The 14193-nt window shown below is 44.2% G+C and overlaps 1 annotated feature.

The window, feature by feature from the left end:
- Nucleotides 13680–13846: a silencer, noted in NCBI's record as "fragment chr11:68762134-68762300 (GRCh37/hg19 assembly coordinates)". NCBI's record gives its function as "represses an EF-1alpha promoter that drives an FKBP-Casp9 reporter gene in an ReSE screen in HepG2 liver carcinoma cells {active_cell/tissue: HepG2}" and the evidence as "EXISTENCE:reporter gene assay evidence [ECO:0000049][PMID:32094911]".

The raw sequence follows: 14193 nt of genomic DNA on the forward strand, positions 1-14193 counted from the left end.
CCCTACGAGAGGAAGATGTACCAATGTGAAATTCTGTGTTGCTGGGACCACGGGGGACCCCTGGGTGCCCCTCGAATTTCCAGCTTCAGAGCTCTCCCCTCCAGGTTCTTTATGTAACAGACCATGACCGGGAGGCTTAACCTTCCCCCACTCCTGTGACTCACTCAGCCCAGATCTGCCTCCAGGGTCACCTTTATAGCTACAAAGCTGTTATAAATACCCTTTATCAGGTTAAAAAATTCTCTTCTATCTTGCTTTGAATTATTTTTTAAATCATGGAGAGGTATTGAATTTTATCAAATGCTTTTTCTACATCTATTATAGAAAAATCATTATTATCAATAGATGTAGAAAAACTATTTGATAGAAACATTTGAAATCATTTTTTTTTTCTCCTGTAATTGTCAAACCCTGTGAGTTAATTAAAAAAACAATAGACCTTAGGGCTGGGCGTGGTGGTGCATGCCTGTAACCCCAGCACTTTGGGGTTTGCTTGAGGCCAGGAGTTTGAGACCAGCCTGGGCCACATAGCAAGATCTCATCTCTACAATTTTTTTTTTTAATTAGCCAGGCATGGTGGCACACACCTGTGGTCCCACCTACTTGAGAGGCCAAGGCGGGAGGATCGCTTGAGCCTGGCACATTGAGGTTGTAGTGAGCCATGGTCCCGCCACTGCACCCCAGCCTGGAAGACAGAGCGAGATGCTGTCTCTTAAAAAAAAAAAAAAATTAGACCTCAGGGCAAAGTGTAGAATTAACTACACTCCTTAGTTTAAGACACACCATGAGCATCAGCCCATTAAAAACCCTCCATTTATTCAAGTTTCCTTCCCCATCCCATCTTAGCTGCCTTTTTCCTCCTGCCGCTTGCATCCATCCAACCTGTTTCACGCAAATCCTTGGACACCTCAATATCTTTCAAGATGGAGTGGTTGCCCATTGTGTTTTAAATTTACGTAAATGTTGTGATTTAGAATTAATGATGGGTTTTTTATTTTTCACTTGACAATATGTTTGTAGGATATATCCAGGTGGCTGTATGCAAAAGTTGTGGTTTAAAATGTCATCATGCACATTGATCTGTTATCCATTCCTTACTGTGGATCCTCAGCTTGCTTCAAAATTCCCATTATCACCAAAACACTGTGTTGGACATCCTCATGCATGTACCCATTGGACTTGACTCAATATTTTTCTGGGATACATTCTTGGAGGAGGATTGCTCGGTCATAGAACATATGCACATTTAGTCTCACTAAATATTGCCTGGTAATTCTTTTTCTGAGTGGCTGCTTCAGGTTTCACCTGTACCAGCAGAATAGGAATGTTTACGTTTTCCCATTCTCTCACCAACACTTGGTGTTATTTGTTTTTCTAACTTTTGCCAACCTGATGGTTGCAAAGTGATATACTGTAGATGTTTTAACTTGCATTTCTGTGATTACAGTGAGTTTGAGCATCAATTCATATATCTGTTAGCCATTTGGAGTTCCCCTTCTTCAAATTGTCTGTTCACACCTGTTGTCCATTTTTCAATTGGGTTTCTTTTCTTTTCCTTTCTGATTTGCAAGAGTTGCTTGTATTTCTAGGTATTAATGCCTTCCTGGATTTAGACATTGCAGATACTTTTCTCTGAGAACGCTCTGTTTTTTATGGCAACTTTATCTATTGTGAACTTTGGTTGGAAGACATCCTAAATTTTGGTATAGCCAACTCTTCAGAATTTTTTTCTCTGAAATTTTGTGTCTTCTAAATCTGAAAGTATTCTGTCTCCCTGGATAAAAAATGTAGTCTTTTCTATTTTCTTCTATTACTTTTATAGTTTTTCCCATTCAGATTTTGTTCTTGGATCCAACTGGAATCTATTTTTTATGAGCTTGATTTTTCCTCCATAGTATGGATCAGCTTTCCTAACACTGTCTCCTAAACAGTCTGTCCTTTCCCTATTGACTTATTAAGTTCTCATTTACACATGGGACTGGGTTTTTAATTTCATTCTTCATTCTGTGTCATTGGTTTGTCTCTCAGTTCCTACAACATTAACACAGTGTTTTGTTTTGTTTTTTTTTTTAAATATGTCTTTCTGCTATGTCATTTTATTTTATGAGATGCATGTCCCTTCTTTAACTTTGTTTGCCAAAATTGAATTAGCCATTTGTGAATCTTTATTCTTCCTTAAAATTTTAGAGCAAATTTTTGGAATTCCTAAAAGAAAGAAACTCTCAAGTTTTCAGTAGAAGCTCATAGAACTTGCAGAATATTGTATTAGAGAATTGTCACATTCACAATGTTAAGTCATTATGTCCATAGTCTGAAATGTCTCTCTGTTCTCAAATCCTTTCTTACATCCTGTAAAATAATTAATAATAACATTGAATTTTTTTTTTTTTTTTTGAGATGGAGTCTAACTCTTTTTGCCCATGCTGGAGTGCAGTGGCACGATCTTGGCTCACTGCAACCTCCAGCTCCTGGTTTTAAGTGATTCTCCTGCCTCAGCTTCCTGAGTAGAGTAGCTGGGATTACCGGCACCCACCACCACACCTGGCTAATTTTTGTATTGTTAGTAGAGATGGGGTTTTGCCGTGTTGGCCAGGCTGGTCTCGAACTCCTGACCTCAGGTGATGCAGCCTGCCTTGGCCTTCCAAAGTGCTGGGATTACAGGCATGAGCCACTGCGCCAGGCTATAACATTGAAATTTTACTCATAAAAGTTCTGTACACTTTATTGTGTTAATTTCTAGGTATTGTTTTAGTGGTTTTGCTGGCATTGTAAATGGTATTTTATTACATCTAAAAAATTTTACTTTTTTTTTTTTTTTGAGATGGAGTCTCCCTCTGTTGCCAGGCTGGAGTGCAGTGTTGAGATCTCGGCTCACTGCAACCTCCGACTCCCTAGTTCAAGCGATTCTCCTGCTTCAGCCTCCCAAGTAAGCTAGGTTTATAGGCACATGCCACCACGCCCAGCTAATTTTTGCATTTTCAGTAGAGACAGGGTTTCATCATGTTGGCCAGGCTCGTCTTTATCTCCTAACCTCGTGATCCACCCACCTCAGCCTCCCAGATTACAGGCATGAGCCACTGTGCCCTACTTACATTTTTATTGGACAGCTGATGAATGGAATTGGATTAATAATAATACTTCTTGTTTCATGACATCCTGTTAATCTTGGTTGCCCTCTTTTATTTTTTAGTGTATATATGTTTGTGTTCATATTAATGTAGGTACCCATCATCCAAAATGAAAACCATGATTTTGACAATAACTTATTTAATTTTTCAGTTTGTTTAGGCTGCTGTATGGAGAATAGACTGATAAGGACAAGAGGAGAGGCTGGGAGACAAGTAAGGAGTCTGATGCAGGTGCTAGTGGGAGCTGAACTGGCGTGGTGGCTGTGGAGTGTAGGTCATGAGAAACAGCTGGGTTTGGAATAAAATTTAAAAGTAGAGCGCACAATTCTTGCTGATGAATTGGACATTGGGGGGATTCCATTCATTTAATGGATTCCATTCAATTATTAATTCAGTAGTTCATTCATTCAGTGTACCCCAGTGAGTTCTTACCTTTGTCCAGGTCCTTTCCATGAATAAAGTAGGCACCTACAATGTATGAGGATTCTGACTTCTCTACACCCTCACCAAAATTTGTTATTAGCTGTCTTTTTTATTGTAGCCATCCTAGTGGGTGCGTGAATTGGTATCTCATTGTGATTTTGATTTGCATTTCCCTAATGACTAATGATGTAGAACATTTTTACATTTTTTCACATGCTTATTGGTCATTTGTATATCTTTGAGGAAATATCTATTCGGATTCTTTCTCCTTTAAAATTGGATTATTTGTCTTTTTATTGTTGAACTGTTAAAGTTTTTTTTTTTTTTTTGAGACGAAGTCTTGCTCTCTCGCCCAGGCTGGAGTGCAATGGCACAATCTTGGCTCACTGCAACCTCCACCTCCCGGATTCAAGTGATTCTTCTGCCTCAGCCCAAGTAGCTGGTATTATAGGCACCTGCCATCATGCCTGGCTAATTTTTGTACTTTTGTAGAGACAGGGTTTCACTGTGTTGGCCAGGCTGCTCTCGAACTCCTGACCTCAGGTGATCCGCCTGCCTTGGCCTCCCAAAGTGCTGGGATTACAGGTGTGAGCCACTGCGCCTAGCCAAAGTTTTTTAAAAATAAAAATTGTATATATTAGATTCTTATGAGATATCATTTGCAAATATTTTCTCCCACTCTGTAGGTTGCCTTTTCACTCTCTTGACGGTGTCCTTTGAGACACAAAAGTTTTTACTTTGATGAAGTCCAGTTTATCTATTTTTTCTTTTGTTGCTTGTGTCTTTGGTGTCATATCTAAGAATCCACTGCCAAATCCAAGTTCATGGAGATTGGCGATTTACCTCTGTGTTCTTTTCTAAGGATTTTGAGGCTTTAGCTCTTATATTTAAGTCATTGATTCATTTTAAGTTAATTTTTGTGGGTAATGTGTCACCTTCATTTTTTGAAGGATATTTTCTCTGGATGAAGAATTCTAGGTTGACAGTTTTAAAATTTATCTTTTAAAATTTTAAAGATGTCATTCTGTGGTCTTTTGTCTTGCTTAACTTCTGAAAAGAGGTCTGTAATAATTCTCATCCTTTTCTCTCTGTCTTTTTTTTTTTTTTTTGATACAGGGTCTGGCTCTGTCACCCAGGCTGGAATGCAGTGGCATGATTTCGACTCACTGCAATCTTCATCTCCTGGGCTCAAGCCATCCTCCCACCTCAGCCTCCCATGTAGCTGGGACTACAGGTGCATGCCACCATGCCCGGCTAATTTTTGTATTTTTTGTAGAGATGGGAATTCACCATGTTGCCCAGGCTGGTCTCAAACTCGTGAGCTCAAGCAATCCACCTACCACAGCCTCCCAAAGTGCTGGGATTACAGGCATGAGCCACTGCACCTGGCCATCTCTGGCTGTTTTTAAGGTCTTCTCTTTATCATTGGTTTTCAAAAGTGTAGATATGATATTCTTTGGTATAGTTTATTTTGGTGTTCATTATATTCATTGAGGTTCTTGGATCTAAGGGTTTATAATTTTTATTTATTTATTTATTTATTTATTTATTTATTTAATGAGACAGAGTCTTGCTCTGCCGCCCAGGCTGGAGTGCAGTGGCACCATCTCAGCTCACTGCAACCTCTGACTCCCAGGTTCAAGCAATTCTCCTGCCTCAGCCTCCCGAGTAGCTGGGACTATAAGTGCGCACCACCACGCCCAGCTAATTTTTCATATTTTTAGTAACCTGGGATTTCACTGTGTTAGCCAGGATGGTCTCAATCTCCTGACCTCGTGATCCGCCCGCTTCAGCCTCCCAAAGTGCTGGGATTACAGAAATGAGCCACTGCGCCTGGCCTGTAATTTTTATTTTATAATTTTATTATGAGTCTGGAAACTTTTGGCCATTTTATTTAAATATTTTCTGCCCCCTTTCTTGGAATTTGAATTAGACACATGTTATATTGCTTGATATTGTCTCACAGATTACTAAAGCTCTGAGTTTTTTTTTCTCTGTGCTTCATTTTAAATAGTTTCTATTGCCTTGCTTTCAAGTTGTCTGATCTTTTCTTCTGCAGTGTGTAATCTTGTTCTTAATCCCATTCAGTAAATTTTTTTTTGTTCCACACACTATATTTTCAGCTCTAGAAGTTGCATTTGGTTCTTATCTATACCTCATGTTTTTCTTTTCATTGTGTTCATGTTTTCCTTGAAATCTTTGAGCATTTCTGACAGGCATTTAAAATTTCTTGCCTGCTAATTTTATCTCTGTCATTTCTTGGTCTCTTTCAATTTACTAATTTTACTCCTGGTTAGGGGTCCCATTTTTCTGCTTTGTCACATGTCTAGTAATACTTCCTTAGATGATGGACATTGTGAGTTTTACATTGTTGAATGTCTGAATTTTTAATTTTTTGTTAAACAGTGGTAGGCCTTCTTCTGGTGGACATTTAATTTACAGATAAATTTGATCCTTTCAAGACTTGTTTTGAACTTTGTTAGAGCAGGTCTAGAGTAGCTATAGGAGAGACCTTTTTGGGCTTTCTACTGAACGTCCCAAGTTTCCAACGAAGTCATTCTACTTTAGCTTATCAGAACTTGAACCCCTCTAGCCCTGTGTGAACTCTGAGACTTGTTCAGCAGACAGATAATCAGTAGTTGTTCTTTGCCCAGTTTCAAAGAGTTAGTTTCATCTTGTGCACAGCTTAGTTTTCAGCCAAAGACTCAAAGGGTCTATGCAGGATTTTGGAGTTGTTTCCTTGAGGAGTTCCCTTCTTTCTCTCTGGTGCTCCATTTCACAAATTCCAACCACTTAATTCTCCTGAGCTCTGACTCAGAGAGAGCACCATGGTCTGCTTGGTTTCCCCCACTTCTGTGCCACTGTCCAGAAAGTATCTGTAGGCAGAAAGCCAGGGTAATCATAGGACTTGCCTCTTACATTTCTCTTCTCTCAAGATCTTAGTCCTGGGCTGCCTCTTGTCCAATATATGCCAACAGTTGTTTCATATGTTTTCTCCAGTTTTCTAGTTGTTTACAGTGGTAGGGCTGGTCCAATACCAGTTAGTCCATCATGGCCAGAGACAAAAGTGTCTCTGTTATATTTCCTGTTGATTTTTGCTGATGTATAGGAGCACTGTTGATTTCTGTAGTTTTTACCAATCAGGTGAATGTTATGATTTATTTTACCATGTCTATCAGTTTATCTGTTGAATATTTTTATTTTCTATGCAACTATCCTTATACCTTTACTTTTTTTCATGTCTTAGAGCATGGTCCAGATCATCTAGTACTATACTGAACAATGCCTGGAATCAGGTATGCTTATCTTCTGCCTAATTTTTTTATTTTTTATTTTATTTATTTATATGTTTTTTTGAGACAGAGTCTCGCTCTGTCACCCAGGCTGGAGTGCACTGGCGTGATCTCGGGTCACTGCAACCTCTGCCTCCTAGGTTTAAGCAATTCTCATGCCTCAGCCTCTCAACTAGCTGGGACTACAGGCATGCACCACCATGCCCGGCTAATTTTTGTATTTTTAGTAGAGATGGGGTTTCACCATATTGGCCAGGCTGGTCTCGAACTCCTGACCTTGTGATCCGCCCACCTCAGCCTCCCAAAGTGCTGGGATTCCAGGCGTGAGCCACTGTGCCCGGCCATCTTCTGCCTAATTTTAAAGAGCACGTGTCTAAAGTTTCTCCATTAGATATGATGTTTACTCTCAGTTTTTGATATTATCTTTTATCAAAGTAAGAAGATTTCCTTCCTAGTCTTCTGAGAGTTTTTATCATAAATGCATGGTGAAATTTGTCATAAACTTTTTTTCTGCATCTACCAAGATAATAATTTTCTTTTTTTCTCCCTCTGTCTACTTATGTGGTGAATATACATTGATAGATTTTCTGGCATTTATTCAACCTTCTATTTCTAAGATAAACCATTTAGTTAGTTCTGAGGGGTTTTTGCTCTGATTTTATTTAGAACATTTTCATCCATGTTTATAACTGAAATTGGCCCATAATTTTCCTTTCTGGTACTATCCTTGCCTGTTTTTTATTTCAAAGCTAAAAGGTGATACTGGCTTTATAAAATGAGTTGGAGAGATTACCCTTTTCCTCTGTCTTCTAGAACAATTTGTGTCATGTAAGGAGTATCTTTCTTTGAAGGTTTGGCAGAAGGTAAAACCATCTGTTCTGGTAATTTTTATGTAAGTGTGAGTGGCTGTGCATGGCTTTAAAAAGAACTACAAATCCAATTTATTTAATGTTTTAAGTCTACTCAGGCATTTAATTTCTTACTGAGTTACAGTAGGCAATATTATTTTTCTAGAAAATTGTTCTTGCTTTTTGGTTTCACATTTATCAGTACAATACTCACAGTAGTTTCTTACATTCATTTAGAATTTTTACAACTTCACTGCTATCTGCCAGTCTTTATTTGTGACTTCACTCCTGTTTTTTCTTGATCAGTTTGCCAGAGGGTTGTTTTTTGAGAACTATTTAAAAATAAAAGCATCTCTACTGTTTCTTTGCTTCATGTTTCCTTAATTTATGCTTTTATTTTTTTTCCATTTTCTTTGGATTTACCCTGTGATTCTTTTTCAGCTTCCTTTGTTGAATGCTTAGGTAATTAATTTTTAAACCTTCTCCTTTTGGTAACAGGTATTTAGGGCTATAAATGGACCACTAAGTATTTCTTTAGATGTTTCCTAGGTTTTGATATCAAGTGTTTTTATTGTTGTCTAAATAGATTATAATTGAAAACTATTGCAAATATGAAATTTAAATATCTATAAGTTATTTAGAAATATATTTTATAATGCATGACTAGCTATCTTTTTGTTATTAACATTGCAAGAAGGTCAGATAACGTGGTCAGTTTTTTGATATTTGTTGAGATGCATTTTGAAGCCTAATGGATGGTTAATTTCTATTTTCTTTCTATATCCATTTGACTATGTTTTTAAAATTATGTTATTTGCATTATCTGTAGCTTTATTAATTTGTCTGCTATAAATATCAACCCATTATGACTGAGGTCTTGTCATTTTGTCTTCCACCTATTTTGAAACTTTGTTAAGTGACTACAAATCCAAGATTATTTGATAACACTGAGGAACTGTGTCCTTTATGTAGTGGTCCTCTTCATCCTTACTAATTTTTTTCTTTTTTGAGACTGAGTCTCACTATGTTGCCCAGGCTCCGGTGCAGTGGCCATGATCTTGGCTCACTGCAAACTTCGCCTCCTGGGTTCAAGCAATTCTCCTGCCTCAGCCTCCCAAGTAGCTGGGATTACAAGCATGTGCCACCATGCTCGGCTAATCTTTGTATTTTTAGTAGAGATGGGGTTTTGCCGTGTTGGCCAGGCTGGTCTTGAACTCCTGACCTCAAGTGATCTGCCCACCTCAGCCTCCCAAAGTGCTGGATTACAGGCGTGAGCCATCGTGACTGGCTCTTTATTTTTTATTTTTAAGTTTGCAATTACCGGTTTCCTTCTACAGGGATATCATTACTTTTTCTTGTGAGAGCCCCACGTTGTCATAAAGGTTTTGCTACCCAGGCATTTGGCATTGGCCTCTGTGGATATTCAAAGGATTTCACAGGTCCAGGACCAGGTTTTTGATGGATTTCTTGGCTAGGAGATTTGGCATCATGCAAGTGGTAGTAAATTCAGATCCTACACCTGTGAATGGTGCAAATTTGGGGCTCTAGCTACTCAAATTGGTGCCCAACTCTACCTGCACGCCCACACATCCACACACCCAGTTACAGGTGGGGTGGAGCTCCTAACAGCACCCTGGGCAGAACACTGCTTCCTCTGGGCAGCTCCCTGGGCCCTGGCCTCATGCAAGTTCCCCTGTTCAAACTCCCTCCCCAACTTGATGCACTCCAAGACCACCTCCTAACCTCTAGCCCTCCCACCCCTAGCCCCTGGAGCCTGTGTCTCATCTGGTGCACCCTGGGCCCCCGGCGTCAGCTCTGGTTGCTGATTCATTTGTGGCACCTGAAGATTTCTCTTCCTGTCTGTCATCTTTCTACTCAGTATTTTATTTGGGTGGGGCGGGAGGGGAATTGTGTTTTCTCCAACATTTTTTGGTCTCCACGGTGGGAGCACAGACCCATGTCCCAGAGTTACCAATCTCCACAGGTCACTATAATTGGAAATGTCCCCTCAGGTTTAAAACAGATTTAAACATTTACCAAACTCATACTATGTGCCAGATACATACATTCCATATATATAAAAACACATATACATATATAATAGTGCACACACACATATGCACATAGACATATATACATATCACACATAGCATATATTCATATATACATATGTAGCACATATATACACATAGAGCACATAGCTCTATACACAGCACATATACCTATACACAGTAAACACACATATATGTATACCCATGTACACGGACACACCGAGCACATATATAACGATGACCACGAACTCACAGTTGTGGGTAGGAAACACACAGTTAAAGGCAGTCCTACCCTACAGCTCAGGGTGTGTCTAACAAGGTGAGGGACTCAGAGGGTAGGACTCAGGTGGGAAGGGGAGCTGGGGGGAGCCAGGTGAGGGAGCGGGGTGCTGGCTGCAGGAGAAGTGTGCGTGCACGTGGCTGGGTACCAGGGTCAGGCCCTTCCCAGGCGGGCTTGGGCACCGGCTGCCTGATCCCTCTCCAGCTTGTTGGGGAACCCCCTTCTAATGCCATGGAGCCTGGCCTCTGCCTCTGGGTCACCTGTGCACCCACATGACCGCTGCAGGACGACGCGGGTCTACTCCATGTGGATTCAGGGGTGTTTGGGCAGTGCTCTGTGGGGAAGGGAGACCAGGGGCCCCGAAGCTCTGAGAGAGGAGGGTGCAGACACATGCTGCTGTCCCACGGTCCTTGTACTTATACTTCTGATGGGTCTTCCCAGGCCATTGTCCCCCACCTGCCACCTTCCCCATCCCCCACTCTGCTCTGGGTGTCTGGACAGGGTGGTGATGTCCAGTGGGGCTCAGAGGCCCTCAGGGCGCCTGGCTTCCTCTTGGGGGTCACCAGGGAGCCCCTTGCAGACATTTCCCAAGGGCCCGCAGTGTGTCAGGGGCTATTCCAGGTACCAGGGTGCTGGAGAGAAAGAGACAGGCCCCTCCTTGCACCTGTGGATGCCGTTCTGCAGGAGAGACGGTCCCTGAGCAGGGACAGCAAGGTGGCTTCAGCCTGGCACCTGTGAGGGTGATGGCGAGAGCTGTGATGGGGGCCTTTTTTTTTTTTTTTGACACGGAGTCTTGCTCCGTCACCAGGCTGGAGTGCAGTGGCGCGATCTCAGCTCACTGCAACCTCCGCCTCCTGGGTTCAAATGATTCTCCTGCCTCAGCCTCTCCAGTAGCTGGGATGACAGGTACACGCCACCATGCCCAGCTAATTTTTGTATTTTTAGTAGAGACAGGGTTTCAGTATGTTGGCCCGGCTGGTCTTGAACTCCTGACCTCAGGTGATCCGCCCACCTGGGCCTCCCAAAGTACTGGGATTACAGGTGTGAGCCACCGTGCCCGGCCTTGATGGGGGCCTTTATGCGGAACCCTGATGGGTTGCAAAGGGATAAGGGTTGGAGGTGGGGCGTGTGTTAGGGAGATGGCCCCAGAGGACCCCTCCCGGTGGGGAGATGCTCAGCTGCAGGGACCCCTGAGAGAGTGCAGGTGACATTCGAAGGAATGTGTGGTCATGGGTGGGGTAGGGGAACAGAGAAATGACAGGGAGGCTGATCTCTCCATTTACTGGAACGACGTGATTGTGTGCTGTATTCGAGGATAGTGATTCAGTGGACAGGGGACTCCTGATGCGTGGGAGAGGCCGCAGCTGCAGGAATGATTTCCTGGGGAGGTGTCGAGAGGAGAGGGGACCTAGCCCACAGTCGGGAGCTTGGCCAGCTAGGAGCTGAGACATCAACATCATCAGGAGGAGGCGCAGAACCAGGCGTGGGTCAGCCAGGGACTTGAGGGGGGGAGGTGACACTCCCTGGCATCCTCTTGCTCCTTGATAGCAGGAGAGTGTCAAGTATTGGGGCTGAGGAAAGGAAGAGGTACTTGGGGTGGAGGGGTTGAGAGACAGGAGCCCTTATCCCAGCCGAAGTAGAATAATGAGCTGTGGCTATTTTCTAGTAAAAGCCAACACATACGTGAAAACTGGCCACATCAGTGGAGATGCCTGGCTTCTCTGCAGTGACGTGAGCTTCAGGATGCAGGGGTGAGTGGGGAGGTGGAGGGTGGGGGAGAGTACGTGTCTCTGCCACCCCTGAATCAGGGGCTGGCATACAGTGGTGCTCAATAAATGTTTGTGGCTTGGCCCCTGGATTAAGCGCCCCGCAGCGCTTAATGAACTCCTGAACTCCCGGCCCTCCTTCCCTCGTCTCTGCAGATGGAGTGAGTTCAGCCAGCATGTCGGCTGGATGGGTGGGCACCGCGTCTGACTTGATCCCTCTGTCTGTCCACCTGGTCCCTAGTGTGAGTCCAGCTGCACCGTTTCGTAAGCCCCCTGCCACTGCGCAGACCCTGGTGAAAGTGAAACATTCCACGGGGATTTGGGCTGTGAGAAACAGCCTGCCTCTTATCATATTCTGCTGGGAGAAAGTGCAAGCAACACCCCCATGATCTTATCAATATCCTGCCAGGCAGCAAGCCATATTGCCCAGACCCCTCCCACCCATACCTATAAGTACCCCAGCCTGTAAGCGGTGGTGGGCTCTGGCATCAAGCTGGTCCCCCACCTCCGCAGGTTTTTACAATATACCTGCGTTTCCTGTAGAGCCGCCACTCTCTCTGTGTGTGTGTGTCTTTCCTTAACCCTCACCTCCCCTTTAAAAAACCTAACACTAGGCCAGGCACAGTGGCTTACACCTGTAATCCCAGCACTTTGGGAGGCCGAGGCAGGTGGATCAACGAGGTCAGGAGTTCGAGACTAGCCTGGCCAATATGGTGAAACCCTGTCTCTACTAAAAAATACAAAAATTAGCCAGGCGTGGTAGTGGGTGCCTGTTGGGCACTGAGTAGCTGGTGGGTCCCAGCTACTCGGGAGACTGAGGCAGGAGAACCACTTGAATCCAGGAGGCAGAGGTTGCAGTGAGCCCAGATGACGCCATTGCACTCCAGCCTGGGCAATAGACCGAGACTCCGTCTCAAACAAACAAACAAAACAAAACAAAACAAAACCTAACACGTAGTACCATGCCTGCAGGTAGTAAATGTTCAACAAGACTTGCTGACGGATGAATGAGTGTGCAGACCAGCAGGTTATACACTGGCTGTTTCCTGTAGGGGGCTGAATGGTGGTCCCTAAAGATAGGTCCCTGTTCCAGAACCCGTGAATGTGACTTATTTGGAGGTAAGGTCTTTGCAGATGTAATAGAGTTAAGGATCTTGAGATGAGACCATCCTGGATGAGGCAGTTGGCCCCTAATCCCAGTTCTTATAAGAGACACACAGAGGAGTTGCCTAGGGAGGAGAGGGGGCCTCATGAAGACACAAGCAGGGACTGGGTTTATGCAGCCACATCCCAGGAACGCCTAGAGCCACTAGAAGCCAGAAAAGCAAGGAGGGGCTCCCTAGAGCCTCAGGGGGCGCATGGCCCTGCCGACCCTAATTCTGGGCTTCTGGCCTCCCGACCATGAGAGAGGAGCTTTGTGCTTTAAGCTGCCCGGTCTGTGCGGCCACAGGAAATTCCTATGCCCCTTGGCGCAGGTGTGCCCACCATAGAGAGCAGAGTGCCATCGCCACACACTGCTCATTGAGGGGTTGATCCTGGACTTGGGAGAGGGCAAGTGGAGCCCACCCACAAGACGCCTTCCCAGCTGAGCCCGACACAGCAGGAACAGCGGGGACCCGGCCCCAGGTGGCTCTGCTCTCAGCCTTCTCTTCCTAGGAAGGGTGCGGGGGTATCCAGGGCCAGCCAGGGGGCCCCGTGCCCAGCACATCATGAGCACTCAGAGTTTATTGGCTGAGTGCCTGATGGACTGATGGACTGATGGACAGTGGGACCCCAGACTGCTCAACCCTCCTCAGGGTCCCACGGTTCCCCTGAGTGGCTCTGGGGCTCTGTTAGAGGTTCTGAGCTTGAAGCTTGCTCCTGATCCCCATCAGAGCCAAGAGAAGCCCCGATTTATGCCAACTCCTGCCCCCAGCACTAATCGATGCTGAACGAGGCCTCGAGGAGGTACCGCAGCGGGGGGAGGTGATCATCACTCAGGCCGGGGACGGCCGCACGGCGTCAAGGGGTGTTTACAGTGTTCTAGTGTGCTCAGCGCTGCTTTGCTTGGCCACTGAACACATCAGAGACCGTGGAGACCCCTGGGAGGAGAGGCGTTAATAGCAGTGACCGCCCCGGGTCAGGACCCATGGAGGTGAACGTGCACAGCCCTGAGACGGAGCACCTCCTAAAATTTGGGGGTCTTGTTCTTATTACCAAGGTTATTTGTGTTTACTGTAGAGCACATTGGAGACGCTGGATAGATACTCAAAATACCGAAAAAGAAAAATTGCTCATAATCTCACCACCAGAGATAATTCCTTTGGGAATGGATCCTTCCAAGCGTTTCCTGTGTGTAAGCTTTCACACTGTGGGGTATGTTCGTGTTATGCTTTGATTCCCTAGTTGTTGGGTTTAAAATATT

The sequence above is a fragment of the Homo sapiens genome, chromosome 11 (genome assembly GCF_000001405.40).
Source record: "Homo sapiens chromosome 11, GRCh38.p14 Primary Assembly".
Taxonomy (NCBI): Eukaryota; Metazoa; Chordata; class Mammalia; order Primates; family Hominidae; genus Homo; species Homo sapiens.